Source organism: Homo sapiens, chromosome 6 (assembly GCF_000001405.40).
Source record: "Homo sapiens chromosome 6, GRCh38.p14 Primary Assembly".
In the NCBI taxonomy this organism is placed as follows: domain Eukaryota; kingdom Metazoa; phylum Chordata; class Mammalia; order Primates; family Hominidae; genus Homo; species Homo sapiens.
This window is the reverse complement of record NC_000006.12, coordinates 23202359-23221663: the sequence shown is the minus strand read 5'-3', so window position 1 is coordinate 23221663 and position 19305 is coordinate 23202359. Positions and strand designations below refer to the sequence as shown.

Sequence of the window (19305 nt, the reverse complement as noted above, 5' to 3'; positions counted from 1 at the left end):
AGCAAGGCATTGCAAGGCATTACATTAGCGGTCAATAAGCTGTACTTCTTTCCATTATCTTACTTGGTAAAGAAACACAGTGTATGGCATACATGTAATTTAATTTTAGTGGCCGTTACTTAATAGACACATTTAATTTCTAAAAATGTCACTGGTGTTTTGGAGTTTGTGGGAAAACCTGCCCCATCTTACGTGTGTGCTAAATTTTATCACATGTAAATTATGGTGTTGAGGTATTAAGATATTATTATTCTGTGACCTATTACGGGAAGTCTTTCAAGAGATCATTGTCCTATCTGTTGGAGGGAAAGAGACAAAACCACGGGATTTTTAGGGCTACGTATTAATCGCCACCATTTTATAAAATAGTGCTAATACCATGTCTCTCTCATAATGGCAAGTTGATTGGGCATATCAGCAAAACAATTGTTGTTTAAAAATAATATTTGATTGAGGTAAAAAAAATCTAGGAAGACAATATTCTAGACAGCAGAAAACAAGATGAAGTCTGGACCCCATCACCAAAATTCAAATAAGGGTATAAAATAAATCTGCACCTCCTTCTCTGGCAATAGATTTGCCGTGGTCATATCAGAGCTTGACTAATTTTAGTATCCTTTCTCTCTGTTTTCATTTTTCCATTTTTTCCCCTGGATGTGAAGGGATTAGTAACTGTGGAAATCATTACAAGAAAAGGGGGCAACAAGTGAAGCAAAATCTCCAGGAGAGTAAATCAGAAACTGTCTCTAGAATTGATCCTTCTGAGTTGGATATTTTATTCTTGAATGTTTATTTTCTCAAATAATATAGGTAGATAGTTTTGGAAAATCTATTACTGGATACTATTTTCATAAGAGAGCACTTATTTTTATATTGTATATTTATTTTATTATTATTTTACTTATTCTAAGAAATTAACATAAAATGCAATTTTTAATGTACTCATTTTTATTAATTAGTTTATTTATTCTAAAAATCGGATAACTGGGGTGAAGAGAGTGGAACATAGTTAACACTTCCTTTAATATTAAGCTTACTTTATACATGTTCTAAGGGTTATACATGTATTAATCATCACACACACACACACACACACACAACCTGTAATATTTTAAAGTAGATAATATTAGCCAACTAAATTTACAGATAAGGAATCAGGTTCAAAGATATTTGAAAATGACTTGTCCAAGAATAGATGAATAGTAGATGGCAGAGGTGGAATTTGCTCTTGGGCAATTTAGCTCAGAGCCTGTATTCTCAACCACTATGTTATATTAAGGGAATGTCCTTCTTGAATTAAGTATTGACATCGTGTGAAAAGCCTGACAGTGATATCCAACTCTTGGTCTCAATAAAGCGGACTTCAAATTCCTCTGTTCAGAAGATCTCTGTTAACAAGTTGTGAGTCTTATGATGAATTCCATCTCTACATTGATTTTTGCTCCCCAAAAGAAAGGAGTGATTTGAGTAAATGATCATTAGATATTTGAGTGCATAAAATTCCATGATTCTAAAAACAATTATCAATATAACATCATCTAGATTTTCTTTTGATTATTATTTAAATATTTCACATTTCTGGCTTTGCATTCATAGACAGGAAGAGTAAACAATAATAATACATTTAGACTTTTCTTCTTGTGATGATCTCGCAAAAATTTTCTGAGAAAGGAAACAGAAAATATTAACAAAAAAATGGTTGAATTATTGTGGTTAATTTATTCATTTGATCCTATATTTGCAAATAATAAAAGTTTCAATATATAAAATAATATGCTAATAGAAATAGATATATTCACAAAAAGCATTTATCACAATGACATTGAACAATATGCATTATTTTATTTATGACCAGTGTGAATTTTTAGTGATTTCACACTGACTCTTATCGTGAATGGGGAGAAAAATGTAGTAGAAGCAAAAGAAGGTGAATTACAGAAGCACATATATTTAAATGCCAAAGCCCGTTACAAAGTTATTTCCCAAAGTAAAAATCTGTAACATTTTCACATTGTATGCAGTTTTAAATTATCTTTGTTTTAATATGAAATAGTGAATTATTTTGACATACATGTTTTGGTAAATCCAGTTGCCTTTGATATTTCAGTTTGCAAGATTTCACTAAGGAATATTTGACCTTATGCTGTTTTATGTTCCTAAATATATCTATACATGTTGAATCATGGTGAACCATATAATTTGACAAGCTACAGTTTGTTTCCTTTTTTCTGTCACAAATTTCTCCAAAATCTTGTTAACCATAGAAAATCTTTGCTTTTTTGTACATAAATCTCCTAGTTGCTCCTATGCTTTCGAGAAACTTCTCTTGATACATAGCATTCAAAAGCATGTGGCAAAGGAAGTGATAGGCAAATATTATTTTTATGCTTTTTTTTAGCAGACAATTGCCTGCTAAGGGGAAAATGATCCGGATTAATAAAGAAATTTCTAAAAACATTCCAATAGTCAACTTACAGGAATTTCAATTGAAGCGATTGAAATGCTCAACATACCAAAACATGTTTTGCTTTTTTTTTTTTCCCAGGATTGTCCTGATACTATTTGTTCTGTCATAGAGTGGGATTTACCTGCTACTTTTGCCGTTGTTATCAGTATCCAAGCATTTTCCTCCCATTTCCTCTCTGGGCAGTTCTCTGGCCCAGCTCAATTAAAGGACAAATCCATTGCAGTCTGTAGCCTAGGAATTATAATGAAGTCAGCTGTCAAACTCTTATCTCACAGCTGCCCCTCTGTGGGTAATCTGATGGCCACTTGTCAGCTGTTTCACCCAAACAAGCACAGACAAAGGGCCTCTGATGGCCTCCTTTATTCTCATCAATCTACATTGAGGCAGATGTTGAAATCCCAACAGGAAAAGGTATAATTTGATTTAGCATTCAGAACTGCCTCCTCCTATTGATACATCAGATCTTTGTGAACTCGATATTCTTTTGTAACCATGAGGCAAATGACTTACTGTTTATTTATTTACCTCATTCTACCATTGAAAATAATGCTTTAGAATGATGTCTGGGGATACAGAATATTGCTCTGTGGAATATACCACAATACAATAAATTACTGGATCTCTCAAGGTGGAAGGAATCCAGGTGACTTTGATTTTTAGAAGAGATTTCTATAATTTTCTAAATACTCTAAAGTGAGCCAAAAGAATCAAAGAGCTGTGCATTCATTCTTTTATTTTTTTTCTATCAACAAGGATGGATATTAGAAAAAAATTAGATTTTTTCCTAGAATAATTAGGCAGAAGATCAAAGTGCAAGATTTGATTGAGAGAAATGAAGATAACTGATATTAATTATACTCTTAAGTTTTTCATTCTCCAACCAAAAGATTATAGAAGTTAGCTGTTTTCTTAATGCAGCACTTTCTTTTTTCTAAGAATAACTTAAATCAATATACATCCTATTAAATGTACTCAAAACTGTCGAAAATATGCGATTTTGATGACAAGATTACTATCACTCTCTGACTACAGCAGTTATATTTCCTACCTTCTTGAATAAGACAAATAAACTGAAAACTATCTAGCTTCCAACAAGTTTGTCTTCTGATTACTGAAGACCTACAATTCCCATCCCTAATACCTGCCTCTAAGTAATAAATGTGTCTTGATGATATTCAAATATAAAGTTCATAAAAGTGTTTATTGAAGACATGATTATAAAAATGGTTTGGGGAGCCAGCCCACTTATCTTAATATCTGCTTGAAAAAAGGGAACGGAAATATTCATGATTGCATATTTGGGGTTCTTTTACACTGAGAACTAGTGTCTTCCGCAACCCAGGTTCTGTTATTTATTAATGAAATCACTTTCACCTCAGGCATTGTTCTTTACATTAATTTTGACTCTAGCTGTCAGAATGTAAACTTTATTCTTTTTAGGTCTTTTAAAAGTCAACATAATATTAAAAATTATGAAGTAAAAAAGCAGGATATATTTTTCTTGCATATCAAATTAATGAAAGTCATTTTTCAGTAGCTTGGAGTACCAACTTTGCAGTGGTTTTGATAATTATTTAAAATGCCCATGTTTCTAAGAAGAGAGTAATATTGTAGATTGAAGTTCCATTCCAAGTATGTTAATTGCTGATATTGAAAGAAACACAGAGAGACAATATATGATTGTAAGAACATAAGGCCAAATCTTTGGTGGCAAAACATTCAATGACATTTAATAAGAAAACTCACTTTGATGCCAGTACTAGAAAAAATGAGTTATAGAAATCATGGTGTTTTTAAGAATTTATATTTCAATATTACAGTGATGTTTCCTTATGAAAACGATTTCAATAAATGCTTTCCTATGTTTGAAGATCAAGATGGGATGTGTGTATGTGTGTGCCTATGCACCCACGCGCTTTAAGGATGACAAGAGTTTGCTGTACAAAGAGAAGATGAGGACATAATCATTCTGCCATTCCTGGTAAAATCAATATCTGCCTATCTTTTGTCTGGCCTGTGAGCACAGCCCTGAAGTTGATTTGTTCTAAGAGAAGAGTAGGCTATCATAAAGATAAGAATGAAAGCTTATACCTGCTTAGGGTTTGTGTGTGAACATGGTGGCAGGATGCAGGAAGGTGGACTGGCCCTTTAATTTCTGTGTATTGTCCTAATCTTCAAACAAACAAAGGAGATCCTTAGAATCCAAGATAGCTGCTAGAAAAGAAGTTTAACAATGACTTCTTTTTGGAAGAATTGCTTATTTTAAAAATATTCAGATAGCTCAATTTTCTTCTATATGAATGGTTTCCAAAGTTAGTTTGGGGGCCACTGGAAATCACCTTTTAGGTTGTATGTGACGTCAAAACTATTGTCATAATAATACTAAAATGCTATTTGCCTTTTTCATTCTATTTTCCCATGAGTATAAGTGGAGTTTTCCAACAATGAATGAAATGTGCATTGGAGCATAGTGTTTATAAATTCTTTTGATATTATTTCTAATATAATAAATATCAATGGATATAACCCATATAAGCAAAAGCTCTTTGGGATGCTCAGTAATTCCAAAGAGTGTTGCGATGGACTGAATTTTGTCATGCCCCCCACCCCAAATCCATATGTTGAAGCCCTAAGTCCTAATGTGACTATATTTGGAGATAGAATGTTTAGGAAGTAATTAAGGTTAAATGAGGTCATAAGAGTAAGGTCCTAATCTGTTGGAACTGGTGACCTTATAAGAAGAGAAGATCTCTTTCTCTCTCTCTCTCTGTCTTTTCGCAAACACAGGGGAAAGACCTCATGAGGACACAGTAAAAATGTGGCCATCTAGGAGCCAGGAAGAGAGCCCTCACCAGAACTTGACCATGCTGGCTCCTTGATCTCAGACTTCCCACCTCCAGAACAGTGAGAAAATAAATTTCTGTTGTTTAGGCCACCACATTTTGTTGTCATCTGTCTGAAGCACGAGGAGATTATGACAATTTAAATGGGTCGTGAAAATTCTAAGAACCACTGATCTATATCAATAAAATGATGATACTGGAGTCCCCTCTAGGCTCAAAGAAGAAAACCAAAATCCATGAGCACATGGGCTGCAAATATGATTTTGAACAAAATAGATAACACATTGTGCTGAAAAATGCTTTAAAATGCTACAGTGTTTACCATAATAATGAGCTATGAGATAAATCTGTTGATACTTCTCCACTTACTCCAAAATTCTTAGCTCTGCATTCAAAGCCCTATTCTTGGGGCCTCAATCTACTCAGTCAAGAGTATCTCCTACTACCCTCTTCTTTAAACCGCTTCATTAGAAAGGAAACCTCAAATTTCCTTGGATATGCATTGCTTAATCTAGTCTCTGCCACTGTGTTCGTGAAATATTCTCACGATATGTTTCGGGTGGTTTCTTTCAACTTAAATAACTTTCACCACTACCATCTTATGATGTGCATTATCACAAACTGTCTTCTGAGGAATTCAGCAGCCACAGCACTACGTATGTATGTACGATGTATGTACACATGTATGTATGGTTAGTACTACAAATCTAAAACATAGTCCTGCATTTTTAAAGAGGCTCATATAAGTACCATTTTGGGACCAAAAAAATCTGAGAAAATTAATCTTTTTCTACAATGCACTATGTATTACATACATGTTTTAAAGTACCACTCTTCATAATGTAAAACATGTTCCATCAAAAAGTACACTCATGTAATTGGGAAAAATTTTCTTAACACGTGCTTTTCTCTTTTGCATCTGTATTCTCAACGTTCTCTACAGTAAAGCCTGTGCCATCCATTTACTTGTGGTGGTGAGTGTAGGGCTATGCAAAATAATTTTTTTTTTTTTTTAGACGGAGTCTTACTCTGTTGCCCAGGCCGGAGCGCAATGGCGCAATCTCCGCTCACTGCAACCTCTGCATCCCGGGTTCAAGTAATTCTCCAGCCTCAGTCTCCTGAGTAGCTGGGATTACAGACACCTGCCACCACGCCCAGCTAATTTTTGTATTTTCAGTAGAGGTGGGGTTTCACCATGTTGGTCAGGCTGGTCTCGAACTCCTGACCTCAGGTAATCCACCTGCCTTGGCCTCTCATAGTGCTGGGATTACAGACGTGAGCCACCGCACCCAGCTGTAGAATAAAATTTTTAAATGTGAAGCAAAATTATAGAGTTTAACTCTAGAAGTATTTTTTAAGATCAGAAAAGATTTTTCACACTGCTATATCATCTCCTGTAAAACAGAATAAGCTCAAAAGTTTATGTTACATAATTTAGGTACTTCAATGCTTTAGTTTTCAATATATTATTGAGTTTACTTGGAGATTCAGTAAAGAAGGCCTGGCCATGGTTTACCATAATGGTAAATCTGTTATTGATGAACACATTCACTCATTTTAAACAACACTAAGTTAAATGATGCAGAATTATGGCTTACTAAAAAAGAGATTGTCAATCACATTTTGATTGTAATGGTTAATGAATTAATAAATCTTTAATTTTAAGGGATTAGTGACTTTGCCAAGGTTCTGAAGACATCAGAGAATATACAGTACGAGACTCTATTCCCTGAGTCCAGGGTGCAAGCTCATTAGTGTGAATTTGCAGAGAAATAAATTTTTCGGTTTGAGACTCAGTTTGGTAACAAGTATTAGAAACTGCACTCATGAACACAATCTTCTACGTTACCAGAGAGTTTAAGAGTATAAATAACATTGTGCAGATTAATTAGAGCTTGGAGTGATTTCTTTGGTGGTCCTTTGTCCATTCCTTGATTTTGCTTATTCTTACCTGTATTGTTGTTATACAAATAGGCCTACCCCATTTGATGAGAAAGATGACTGCTGACAGACCCAAGCTGTGTCCTCCCATACGGTCCTCATTTTTTATGCTCTTCTGCAGTGTCATTTTGGCAATCCCCCATTAAGAGACAGAATCTAATCTCCCCTTCCCCCTAACTACCCTAGCTACGGCCACCAACTGAATCTGGGCTGGCCTTAGTGACTAACTTGCAATTAAGAGAATATAAGGGAAATGACATTGTGTGACTTCCAAGGCTCTGCCAGAAAAGCCTTGCAGCTTCAGTCTGGGTCTCTTGTAACACTTCCTCTCCGGACCATCCCTCTCAGATCACTGCTTTCTGGGACTAAGCCACCTTGCTATGAGGAGCCCAGGACACAGGGAGAGTCTATATGTAGGTATTCTGGTCAATGGTCCCAATTGTACTCAGCCTTCAAGTCATCCCAGCCCAGGTACCAGACATATAAATAAGTGATGACACCTCCAGATGACTCTGGCTTCTACCCAGACAGCAATTCAAGTCTTCCAAGGGAATGACTCAGACATTGTGGAACAGAAAGACAGGTTATCCTGCTCTGCCCCAGTAGAATTCTTAAACCACATAAGACTTGATCATAAGAAAATGGTTGCTTTTTAAAGCCACAAAGTTTGGGATGATTGGTTATGCAGTGGTAGATAATCAGAACACTAGTAAAGTACACTTACTTCCAACTGTCAAATTGCAATACCAGGGAAGAGTGATTTGCCTCATGTGTACCCAAAACACAAAGGGTAGGCTAGGGTGAGATGGTTATCTTGTGTCACATTCCCATCCTTGTGCCATGAGTGAGGCGTTATGACTGACAGACTCACCAGACCATACAGAATGAAATAAAAGTTTCCCCAAAATACCAGCAGAAAGAAAAGAACATAAGCTGGAGAGAAAGAATACATATTGTTTACATCCCAGATAGCAACAGGATCTGGTCACAGATAGCTTCACTCAATTAGTTCTTTTGCAATAATGAGTCAGCAGCTTAGAAAAGATGCCCAACATAACTGGTCAAGCCTTGCCACAAAAACTGGCTGTTGGTTTCTTTTCATCTTCTTATAAGCATTGACAGAAGAAGCCTTATCCTTGATGCTCCCAAGAAAGCCCTGTTAGAACTTCTAAATTTTTAAAATTCTGAGAAACAACTTTAAAAACCCTTCACTTTACCTATTCATCATAGATTTTTCACTCTGTTGCCTAATGTGTATTGCAGACATCTCAGAGACACATAGGCTTATAATAGAAATTAAAAGATAATTTTCACTTAATCATGATTATTCAGGATGCATACAGAGAGACTACCAAGAAACTTGGTTGATCTGCATATTAGTATCTTTTAGTAGAGAATGTGACATTATATACAAAAAAAGTCAGTTTTGTTGTGATTTAAAGGGTACCATGTGAATGGATCAACTAAATATTCTCATTTCAACTTAATTTATCTAGAAATAAAGTAATTCTGAAAAAATAACATAGGGTATTTTCCTCTCAGAATAATAAAGTATAGATGATGGGATAAAGTAATAGCTAACATTTATGGTGTGCTTTCTAATATGGGAACTGTCAAGAACTTCTCCTCACTTTCCTCATTTAATCTTAACAAGAATCTTCTGCTAAAATAAGAGGCAAAACCCAAGGACTGGGTTCAAATCTCAGCTCTTGTACTTGCTTGGTCAGTGATCTTAGACAAGTTATTTAACTATTCAGTGCCTCAATTTTCTTATTTACAAAATGGAATGATGATGATGATGATGATGATGATGATGATGATGATGATGATGATGACCCGGACATCATTGTGTTATTGGAATATTAGATGAATTAGGTATCTAAAGGGCTTAGAGTACTGTCTGGCTCACAGTAACCTCAATAGGAACATTAGATCTTATTTTTCTCATTTTACTAATAAGGATCTGAGACTTGAAGAGGTTATGTATCACGGTCAAAAACTCTAATATGCTAGAGTTGGAATTTAAATACAGACATTCTAATTCCAGAAGTCGTGCTTATAACCTTTCTTCTAAATAGCCTTTGCCAGAATAAAAACAGAGTATAAGGGAAAAATTAGAAGAGAGGTATTACTTAAGAAGCCCTCAGAAAGTTTTGTTGATGGAGTCAAAACCAAAATGTTGCCACAAGTGTGTACCACTTCACCTCTCCTAACAAGAATTTGGTCAATTAGTTAAAGCAAATATTATTCTTCTCATCTCACAGATAATGAAAATGAAATGGAAAAATTTTAAGGACTTGCTGAAGGTTAAAATGTTAATGGTTGAGTCTCAACTAAACCTGAATCTTCTGATTGTGGACTCAGGACTGTAAATATGGAGAGGTCAAGATGGAGAACAGACACTGATCTTGATTTTGTGTGGGATATACTAGACTGTCCTTCAAATTATTTGCTTAACTTTTAGATTTGACAACCCAACTAAAGAAGATTTCCTATTGAAGCAATTATCACACTAGGATCTCCTAGAGAACAGGTCAAAACATTTTTTTTCTGTAAAGGATCAGAAAGCCAATATTGTAGACTTCGAAAGCTAAGATAGTCTCTATTGCAACCACTTAACAATGGCTTTGGAGCCCCCAAACAGCCAGATACAATTTGTCAATGAATAGCCATGACTGTGTTCCAATAAAACTTCATTTACAAAAACACACAACAGGCAGGATTTGGCCTGTCGGCTGGAGTTTGCTGACTCCTGTTCTAGAAGCTGGTTAATACCTTGCCATTAGTTCCTTATCAACTACTGCATATAATAAGTTTTCCTTTAATACTTGTGAGTGGACAGATTAAGGTTAAGTAAAATGTGATGGGATTAGCCTTACTGTTAATTCAATGAATATTTATTGAGCATCTACTCTGTGCCAGGCACTTTTTTAGGTGGTGGTGAAAAAAATGTTAAAAGACAGACAAGCTCCTTGCTCTGGCAGAGGTCATAATATGCACCATAAATTCATGTGTTTAATTTATGTATTTAAAGATTAATACAAAATTAAACACATAAACACATAGATAATTAGAGAGCAGAAAAGAAGTGATACGAAGGAAATAAACAGAAATATGTGTTAGAGACTCGTTGGGTGGGTGGGTGAGTTTTGCAGATGGAGTATTTTAGGAACCTTAGTGATTGACATCATCTGTAAGGAGGTCACCTGTGATCTGCAACAAGAAGCCAAAGTGCCATGGGAAGGGTGTTCTCAGCAGCAGACCCCTCAGCAGAAAAGGCCTTGGTAGGCCCAGTTACAGAAAGGAAGTTTGTGTGAAAGTGATAGGTGAAGCTGGCTGGGCTTCTGGGTCAGGTGGGGACTTGGAGAACTTTTCTGTCTAGCTAAAGGATTGTAAACACACCAATCAGCACACTGTGTCTAGCTAAAGGATTGTAAATGCACCAATCAGCACTCTGTAAAACAGACCAATCAGTACTCTGTAAAATGGACCAATCAGTGCTCTGTAAAATGGACCAATCAGCAGGACGTGGGCGGGGCCAAATAAGGGAATAAAAGCTGGTCACCTGCGCCAGCTGTGGCAATCCGCTGGGGTCTGCCTCCACGTGTGGAATCTTTGTTCTTTTGCTCTTCACAGTAAAGCTTGCTGCTGCTCACCCTTTGGGTCCACACTACTTTTATGAGCTGTAACACTCACTGCCAAGGTCTGCAGCTTCACTCCTGAAGTCAGCGAGACCACAAACCCCCTGGAAGGAAGAAACTCCGGACACATCCGAACACCTGAAGGAACAAATTCCGGACACACCATATTTAAGAACTGTAACACTCACTGAGAGGGTCCGCGGCTTCATTCTTGAAGTCAGCGAGACCAAGAACCCACTGGAAGGAACCAATTCTGGACACAAAAGGATATCAGGAAAAGTGCAGAGTGTGGTACAAAATGCAGGGGGAAAGGTAGGTGGGAGGCCAGCTTTTGAAGACCCTTGTTGACACTTTGTGTGTTATTTTAAGGATATGGGAAGCCATCAAAGGATTTAAGATGGAAAATGGCATGTTCTGAATTTTGTTCTTAAAAAAGCTCACGGTGGTTGCTGTATGAATAATGGAATAGGGGAAGGCCATGGTTAAAAGTGGATGAGCAACAGTAGAATTTGCAGAAGTTCCAGAAAGAGGGGCATGGGTTGGACTAGAGTGGTTACAGTGGAACAGAAACAGTAGAAAAACGTGAGATGTACGTTGAAGATACATTTCACTCTTGCTTAGCAGATTCATGGGTAGAATTCTGGCTTGAGGAAACTCAGTAAATGGTGTTTGTTTATTGAAATGAGACAGAAGAAATTTAGGGAGATTGTAGAGGCAAGATTTCAGCTTGGAAAATGAGTAAGTTTGCGATATTTATAGGACATCCAAGTAGAGTTGCGTATAAGCAGTTGGGCAAGTGCATCTAGAATGCAAAGAATAGGTCAGAGCTGGAAATATCGATTTAGGAGGCAGAAGCCTCTTTAGGTGGTTTTTGAGTCTATGGGGGCAGAATGGAATGTTTTAAGACTTCATGCACATACAACAGGCAAGAGATGTCAGCCCACTTGGGGCAGCACAACAATCGATAAACATTTTGAGAAAAGACATTTGTTAAGGAGATAGAGAAGGAACTGTCAGAGAGGTAGGAGGAATACCAAGAAAGTGTTTTCTCAGAAGACAAAGAAGCCAGTGTAGTATCATTATCCCTCCTTAGAAGTTAGCCTCTATGGCAAAGGCTGCTAAAATGCTATGCCCAGTGACTACAGTGAAATGTGTACTTTAATTGCTAACTTTAGGAGTCATTGATAACCATGAAAAGAACATTGGTATGGTAAAGAAAGAAGAGGAACTGGGAATGCATGGAAGAGAGAATAGAAGGTGAGGAAATGGGTTCAGAAATTGTCCGTGAATAGAGAATTAACGTTTAGGAGGGAGATGCCAGGGACCAGGTTGGTTGGTTTATCTCATGATGGGGAATGTTGGAGCATGTTTGTATTATGATGAGAATGATCCGGTAAAGAAAGATAAATTTTAACTATGTAAATGAGCAGATCCAAAGCCAGAGACTAGATATAGAAATATTTGTATGGCATTTATATAGCATAATCTCCATTTAGAAATCTGTGTACAGCTTTTTTTAAATGCCATTTTGAGGTTTGTTTTGAAATTTGGGATGAGTGAATCGTAAGAAAGAAAAAGTTTTTGCACAATATTTATAAGTAAATGGATTTCAGGTTCAAACCACAAATAGACTGAAATCAAAAAGAATAATAACTATACATGCTTGAATGAGAAAATGAAAATAATTTACTATCATGGTGCATACTGCAGCATTATAAATACTGACAAGTAGTTTTTTAAAGTACTATAAAATCAGCTTGTTTCCTACAAAGCTAGATATCATCTTACTCCTCAAACACAAATTGTGTTTATACTTTTAATTTATTTTTCATATTGTGGCAGAGATAAACACCTGTCGCATCTGTATTTGAATTAGGACAAATTAGAGAGAAATATTCAGAGCTATTTAAATGGTCCTAAGGAGGTAGACTGTATGCCAATGTAAATTACAATTATTATGCTGATGATCAATATTTATGTTGCCTCTGCCAGTTGTCTGAGCACTTTCTGTGGCGTTCTAAATGAGGGGGCTTATTTATGGGACTAGCTATCTGCAGCTGGCCATCAGTGAATCACAATCGTAATATCATGACACTAATGCAGGCTGAGCCATGATTGGTTTCCACCTGAGTGATGATATAGTTGTGGATGGCCCCGTTTCAGCCAAAGTGGAAGAAAGTCATTATTTTTATTTAACAGTTATAGTATGTTGTTGTCACCTTTTTATGTGAAAGCTTTGTTTTCCAGGTGAACTGAGGAAGAAGATCATTGAGACATTGACAGGTATCGTTTTTGTTGTTATTGTTGTCGTTCTAATTAACTAGATAAGATGCTGTTTGAGATTTTTGTACGTTTTTTGTTCGTTTAAAAATCTGTTTGTCTTGCTTCTTATCAAATCAGGCCAGATACATGTTTTTTAAATTGCTCATGTTTGACCAATTTGAGATTCTCAAATCTCAAGGATTTGAGAGTGAGGAAGATCTGGAGCCCAACATGGCATCACCCTGTAGTGTGAAGATGGCACAGCAGACAAGGGTGTAAAGAGGAAATAAAGGACTTGCATTGAGCCCAAATTGTTGAAATCAGGCCTTAGAGTCTCAGGCCTAACCAGTCACGAACATATTTACTTGTAGAAGTAAGGAATTAGGAAGATGATGGGGAAATCATCAGAACATTGTTTCTTTTAGGCTCTCCCTTGCACTTTACTTATTTTTGAAAACCTATCTGTATGCATCATTGGGAGTAACTGAAAGGACTTTTTATCCCAAGCATATAGATACAATGTTGTGGAACAGCACGTACAATTTATGATCAGAACACATAGATTTGAAAATCAGCAGCAGCTTGATTAGATTATGTTAGATAAGATCGCTCCGTTTCTTCCTGATAAATAACTTCAGTTTCTTCATAATGAAGGTGGGTAGCATCATAACGCTTACTTTATAACAGCTCAGGTTGCAGCTTCACACACCTTGGTTTGAAACTCCAGCCCTGGCACCGACATGCTGCCTGACCTTGGAAAAGTCACTTGACATCTCTGAACCTGAGCTTGTTCAACAGAAAAAGAGAACTCATATCACCTTGCTCACGGACATGTGATTGATTTCGCGAGGGGATTAAACAGGGTAATAGATGTAAATTGCTGAACATTGTATCTTCCAGGGAATAAATGCTCAGTAAATATTAATAATTTTTTTCAAATTCTACAGATTTCTACCAGTTTAGGAGCTACCAATTTAGCTCATTTTTTCTCAAGCTCATGAAGTAGACTTAATAATATACCATAAAGTACTTTGATAGATTAGAATACTAGGGAGGTTGATAGAGCCCCCAAATATAGAGAATGGGCTGGTGCAAATGTTGCATATATGTTTGAAAATGAAATAAAATAGAACACAAAAAGAGGATTTTTAATATTAAAATAATGCGAACTCATTGTAGAAAAGCTTTATGTTATTCCATTTTGTATCTTGCAAAACAATATACAGAGTACATTTTTTCATTATTTTTCTGAGAATAAAATTTCTTAATGCTGTGTATCCTTGGATTAGTCTGTTTTCACACTGCTATAAAGAAATACCTGAGGCTATGTAATTTATAAAGGAAAGTTTAATGGACTCCTGCAAGACTGGGGAGGCCTCAGGAAACTTATACCATTATAGCAGAATGGGAAGCAGACACATCTTACATGGCAGCAGGTGAGAGAGCGAGCAAGAGCAGGGAAAACTGCTTTACAAAGCCATCAGATCTCGTGAGAACTCACTCACTATCATGAAAAGAGTATGAGGGAAATTGCCTCTATGATCCAGTCACCTCTTTCATGTAGGGATTACAATTCAAGATGAGATTTGTGTGGGGACACCAAGCCAAACCATATCAATCCTGAATACTCATTCTTATTCTCCCATTGTTAAGTTTTCTACCTAAAGTTGCTATTATAATAGTATTATTGAGTAGAAATTACTGTTTATATATACGAGTACCTGTTAAGGATTAACTCTTAGAAGGGATGTATGGGATCATATATATAAACACGTCGAATATTATCAATTTGCCTTCTAGAAAACTGCCAATTTTGCTCCTCCACTAACCTCAAAGAATGTATTTTTAGGTTCAGACATAAACCGCTAGGGTCAAATATAGTCTAAAGGTATAGACTGAAGGAGAGAAAAGGTGGAAGGAATTGATGTGTGTTAACAATATTACCTTTCCCCTTAGCAGTACTTCAGATTAATTTTAGCCACTTCTGCAAACATGTTCACATCTCTTTTACCATGCGATCCTGTTCACTTAGCTTATGCTGGTCCATACAGAGATAATAATTTCACAAGAGCTATGAGAAGTGTTCGTAAGAGTTCCTATTTATTTCTCATAACTCATATGTCATGTCATAAATAAGGCCTCTCTGGGAAAACTTGCATGGATGGTTTGGGTCAGTTGCCGCTCCCCAGTGCTCCCACGGCGCTATGTTTCACTCCTACCATTTACACTGTTTTACAATCGTTCTCAGGGTTGAATTTCCCCACCAGTAGTTAAGTTTTCTGAAGGCAGACAAGGCAGAAAGGCAACAATTTGTTGTCTGTCTTGTTCATTTTTATATCTTCAGGACCTGTCATAAACTAGCCTCTCACATAGCTGTTGAATGAAGGGAAGAATAAATGAGTATCTGGATGAATGAATAAAAGAAGTTGTACTTAACCTCTTTCATGTTGGAAACATAGAATTGTAGATGTCAATAACTCAAAAGTCACCTAGCTAGTTAAGTGGTGATGGTCATATGACTAGAATGAGTAAAATAATTACATTTTATTGGCAAAATAAAATCATCTGATGTACAGTAACAATTCAACTTTGAAAGAAAAAATGTCCCTTTCTGGACTGCAAAAATACATTGAATCCATTGAAGTCTAGTTATATCTAATGCCTTCTTAAATGATCTGATGATCTGATTTATACTTCCCCAAAATTCTTAAAAATATCTTAAATACTTGCATGCTGTTATCTTAAACTTATATTCCTATAAATAAATACTGAAGTTTTCAGTAATACTTCTTAGGTAAATCCCTACATCTGCATTATTAATTAGTATAGAACATCTATCTGAGTCCCCTAAATGTACTTATTCCTATGTGTCGTAGACTTTTATTTCTATTTGTTTTGGTGGCTAGAAAAAGGGAAATAATGACATTTCTGAGGAGACTCAGAAATCATTTTCTAGGTTCTTTGTAATTATTTTCTATATTTGAAGTGTGTTTAGCTGAGAACTACTCAAAAAATAAAACCAAGCTAAAGTCATTAAATAAATCCCACATTCAATTTGTACTTTGATTCCTTAAAATAGCAGAAGGGAAGCTGTTTCTAAGCTCAATGACTAAGAGTTTCTGTTAAAAGAAATCCATTTGGTGGCTGGGCAATGTAAGAAAATATGAACACTTTTAAAGAAAAGATGAGAAACTGATGAAGTTCTAACCAAAAGATAATTACAAAAAAAAACTAATCAAAATAAAGTAAAATTCTATATTTGTCAAGGCACCGAGCCGAATTGGCTACAGATGTAGTTATGGCAGCAGATTGGACATTGATTGCACTTCCCAGCAGGGAAGAACAATGAGAAAATTACTGAACTCAGGTTTGATTTGCTCTTGTGCCCTAACTTAACATTCTTTGCAATGGTGGGGTGGATAAGGCTAAAAAACTTCTGACCAGTGCATCTAAATGGTGTGCTACAAAAGCACTCAGTGATCCCGCCATATTTGTGATTGTTTTCAAATATAATTGTGAAATTAACTTCCTTATGTTCAAGATCATTAGCAAAGTCAGATTGCCTACTTTCATCTCTTAATGATAACAATAGGCAATAAGAAGTATGAACAGTATTACAGTGATTACAACTGTCAATTGTTTACTGCAGGTCCTCGAATGATATCCTTTTGCCCAATGTAGTTTCCTTATATCATTGATGAGAAAAGTATTTATTTCCATCCTGGGCCATCAGTGTGGAGTTTGCGTGTCTAAGTAGGTTCCTCCAGTTCCTGCAGTTTCCTCCCACATCCCAAAGTTATGCATGTTAGGGGAATTGGCATGTCTACAGGGTCCCAGTGTGAGTGAGTGCAGGGGTGTGTGAGTGTGCCCTGCCATGGGACGACAGCCTGGCCAGGGCTGGTTCCTGCCCTGCTCCTAAGCTGCGGGGAAAGCCTCCTGCCACCCGCAATCTTAAACTGTAGTAAGTCCTTGGAAAATGAATGAGTGAATGAATGAATGAAGACAAATCATTTGTGAAATAAAAATTCATAAAGTATATAATAATCATACAAACACAAAATGATGTACTACAAAAGCACTCAGCAACCCTACAATATTTGTGATTGTTTTTAACTGCCTAGTGGTAGGAGGTGCACCTTACAGTTGTTACTTTGCAAACATTAATTCCTTGACTTAATCCACAGGACTGTGACTGCAGTCACTAACTGATTCACCACAAATTACAAACTAGGCAAATCATTATCTTACTTGTTTTTATTCATCTTCGTTAAATGTATGTACAGCTCACATTTACCTCAATGTTTAATATTAGAAGTGTTCTGGGTCTTTAAAAATGACCAGAAGTATGCCATAGGAACCTAACTCTTATTTATATCAATTAGCCTACAGTAAAATTCAATCTGTTGTATGTTGTTTCATTTAAAGTTGTAGTTTTCAATAACCTGTCTATGACATTGAGGACTTACTGGATTGTTACATTCATGATCATTCCAAGGCTTCTCATAATCTCTTGGAAATTATGGCAAGAATAATATGAGTAAATTAGAAAAGTTTGTATATGAGCATTTAGAAAAAAAAATGAGAAGTGAAAGTTTTATTTGATTATAATGTTAAATTTGTAAAATTCACATTACCTTTTCTATCTTTCTATGTTTTGGCAGTGACACTGTCAGGGAAACCAAGAGCCAAGGAACCCATTACTATTGAGGTCAAACATAAAACAACAGTAGGATCAGGAGTGCACAGTCACCAGGAGAGATTCTGGAGATAGGGGAAAAGTTTAGAAACAAAATCCATGATTCAACTTATAGCTATAAAGGAGGCTATTCTGCACCTGAGATATGCTAAAATATTGAATTATCTATTTAATGCTTTTATTATTGAATTTTTAATTACACAAGCAACACATACTTATATAAATTAGAAACTACAGGTAAGCATAAATAAAATTTATATCACCTGTTTTACATTTTGCAGTATAGATTTCTAACTTTTATACAAAATGTATTTTAACACTTTTGCCCAAAAGTAACATTATACTCTAGGTGTTATTTTGTAACTTTCTTTTTCTTGTATTTAACTACATATTTGTAACTATTTCTAAGTCAGTACATGTACCTCTATAAAAAATATTTCTAATAATTTTATAGGATTCAATTATGTTTTTAGCTCATCACTTAAAAATCAATTTTCTATTGCTGTTTTTAATGTTTTGCTATTATAAACAAAGCTATGATAAAGCTTTGTATGCTATGGGTTCTGTGCAATCATCTTTTTAAGAAATATTTCTCCATGTAGAATTGTTGGGCAAAAAATCTCATGAATGTATATACATATATATATATATTTTTTTTTTTTTTGAGATGGAGTCTCTGTCGCCTAGGCTGGAGTGCAGTGGCATGATCTTGGCTCACTGCAACCTCCATCTCCTGGGTTCAAACAATTCGCTGCCTCAGCCTCCCGAGTAGCTGGAATTACAGGCATGCACCACCACGCAGGGCTAATTTTTGTAATTTTAGTAGAGGCGGGGTTTCACCATCTTGGCCAGGCTGGTCTTGAACTCCTAACCTTGTGATCCACCCGCCGTGGCCTCCCAAAGTGCTGGGATTACAGGCATGAGTCACTGCGCCCAGCTCTTATGAATATTTTTAAGGCTTTTGATACTGTCCTCAAATCGTTTCCCAGAAAAGTGAAGGCAATCTAGACTCCTACAAAAATGTATATTAGCACTGTACTTTTACCTTTCCCTCCAAAACCTAACTACACTGGGCGTACGGTATTTTTAAATTTCGAATGTGATATGCAAAGTGTTACCTTTTAGGAATTTCATTTGCAATGTTTGATTTCTAGTGAATTTGAACATGTGAACATTTTTTTTTAAATCCATATGTACAATTTGTATACTACCTCCTCCTGACACTACTGATCAGCTCACTAAAATTATCGTTTTATCATAGTGATTCGTAGTGATATCTTAGGTACTAGAGAGCAGGCAAATCTCGCAAAGCTGCTTGAGGCTTAGGTTTAGAATTGGCAGTCTATCAGGACTGCCTCATTCTATTAATGACAGCAAGTTATGTGTCCAAAACCAAACACAGAAGGCAGAGAAGTACTCTCTACTCACAGAGGGAGGTCACCAAAACATTTCCTG

The 19305-nt window shown here is 36.0% G+C and overlaps 1 annotated feature.

The window, feature by feature from the left end:
- Window positions 2445-3116: an enhancer, noted in NCBI's record as "OCT4-NANOG hESC enhancer chr6:23218776-23219447 (GRCh37/hg19 assembly coordinates)". NCBI's record gives its function as "activates a minimal SCP1, AML or CMV promoter by ChIP-STARR-seq in naive and primed H9 embryonic stem cells {active_cell/tissue: H9 hESC(naive and primed)}" and the evidence as "EXISTENCE:reporter gene assay evidence [ECO:0000049][PMID:30033119]".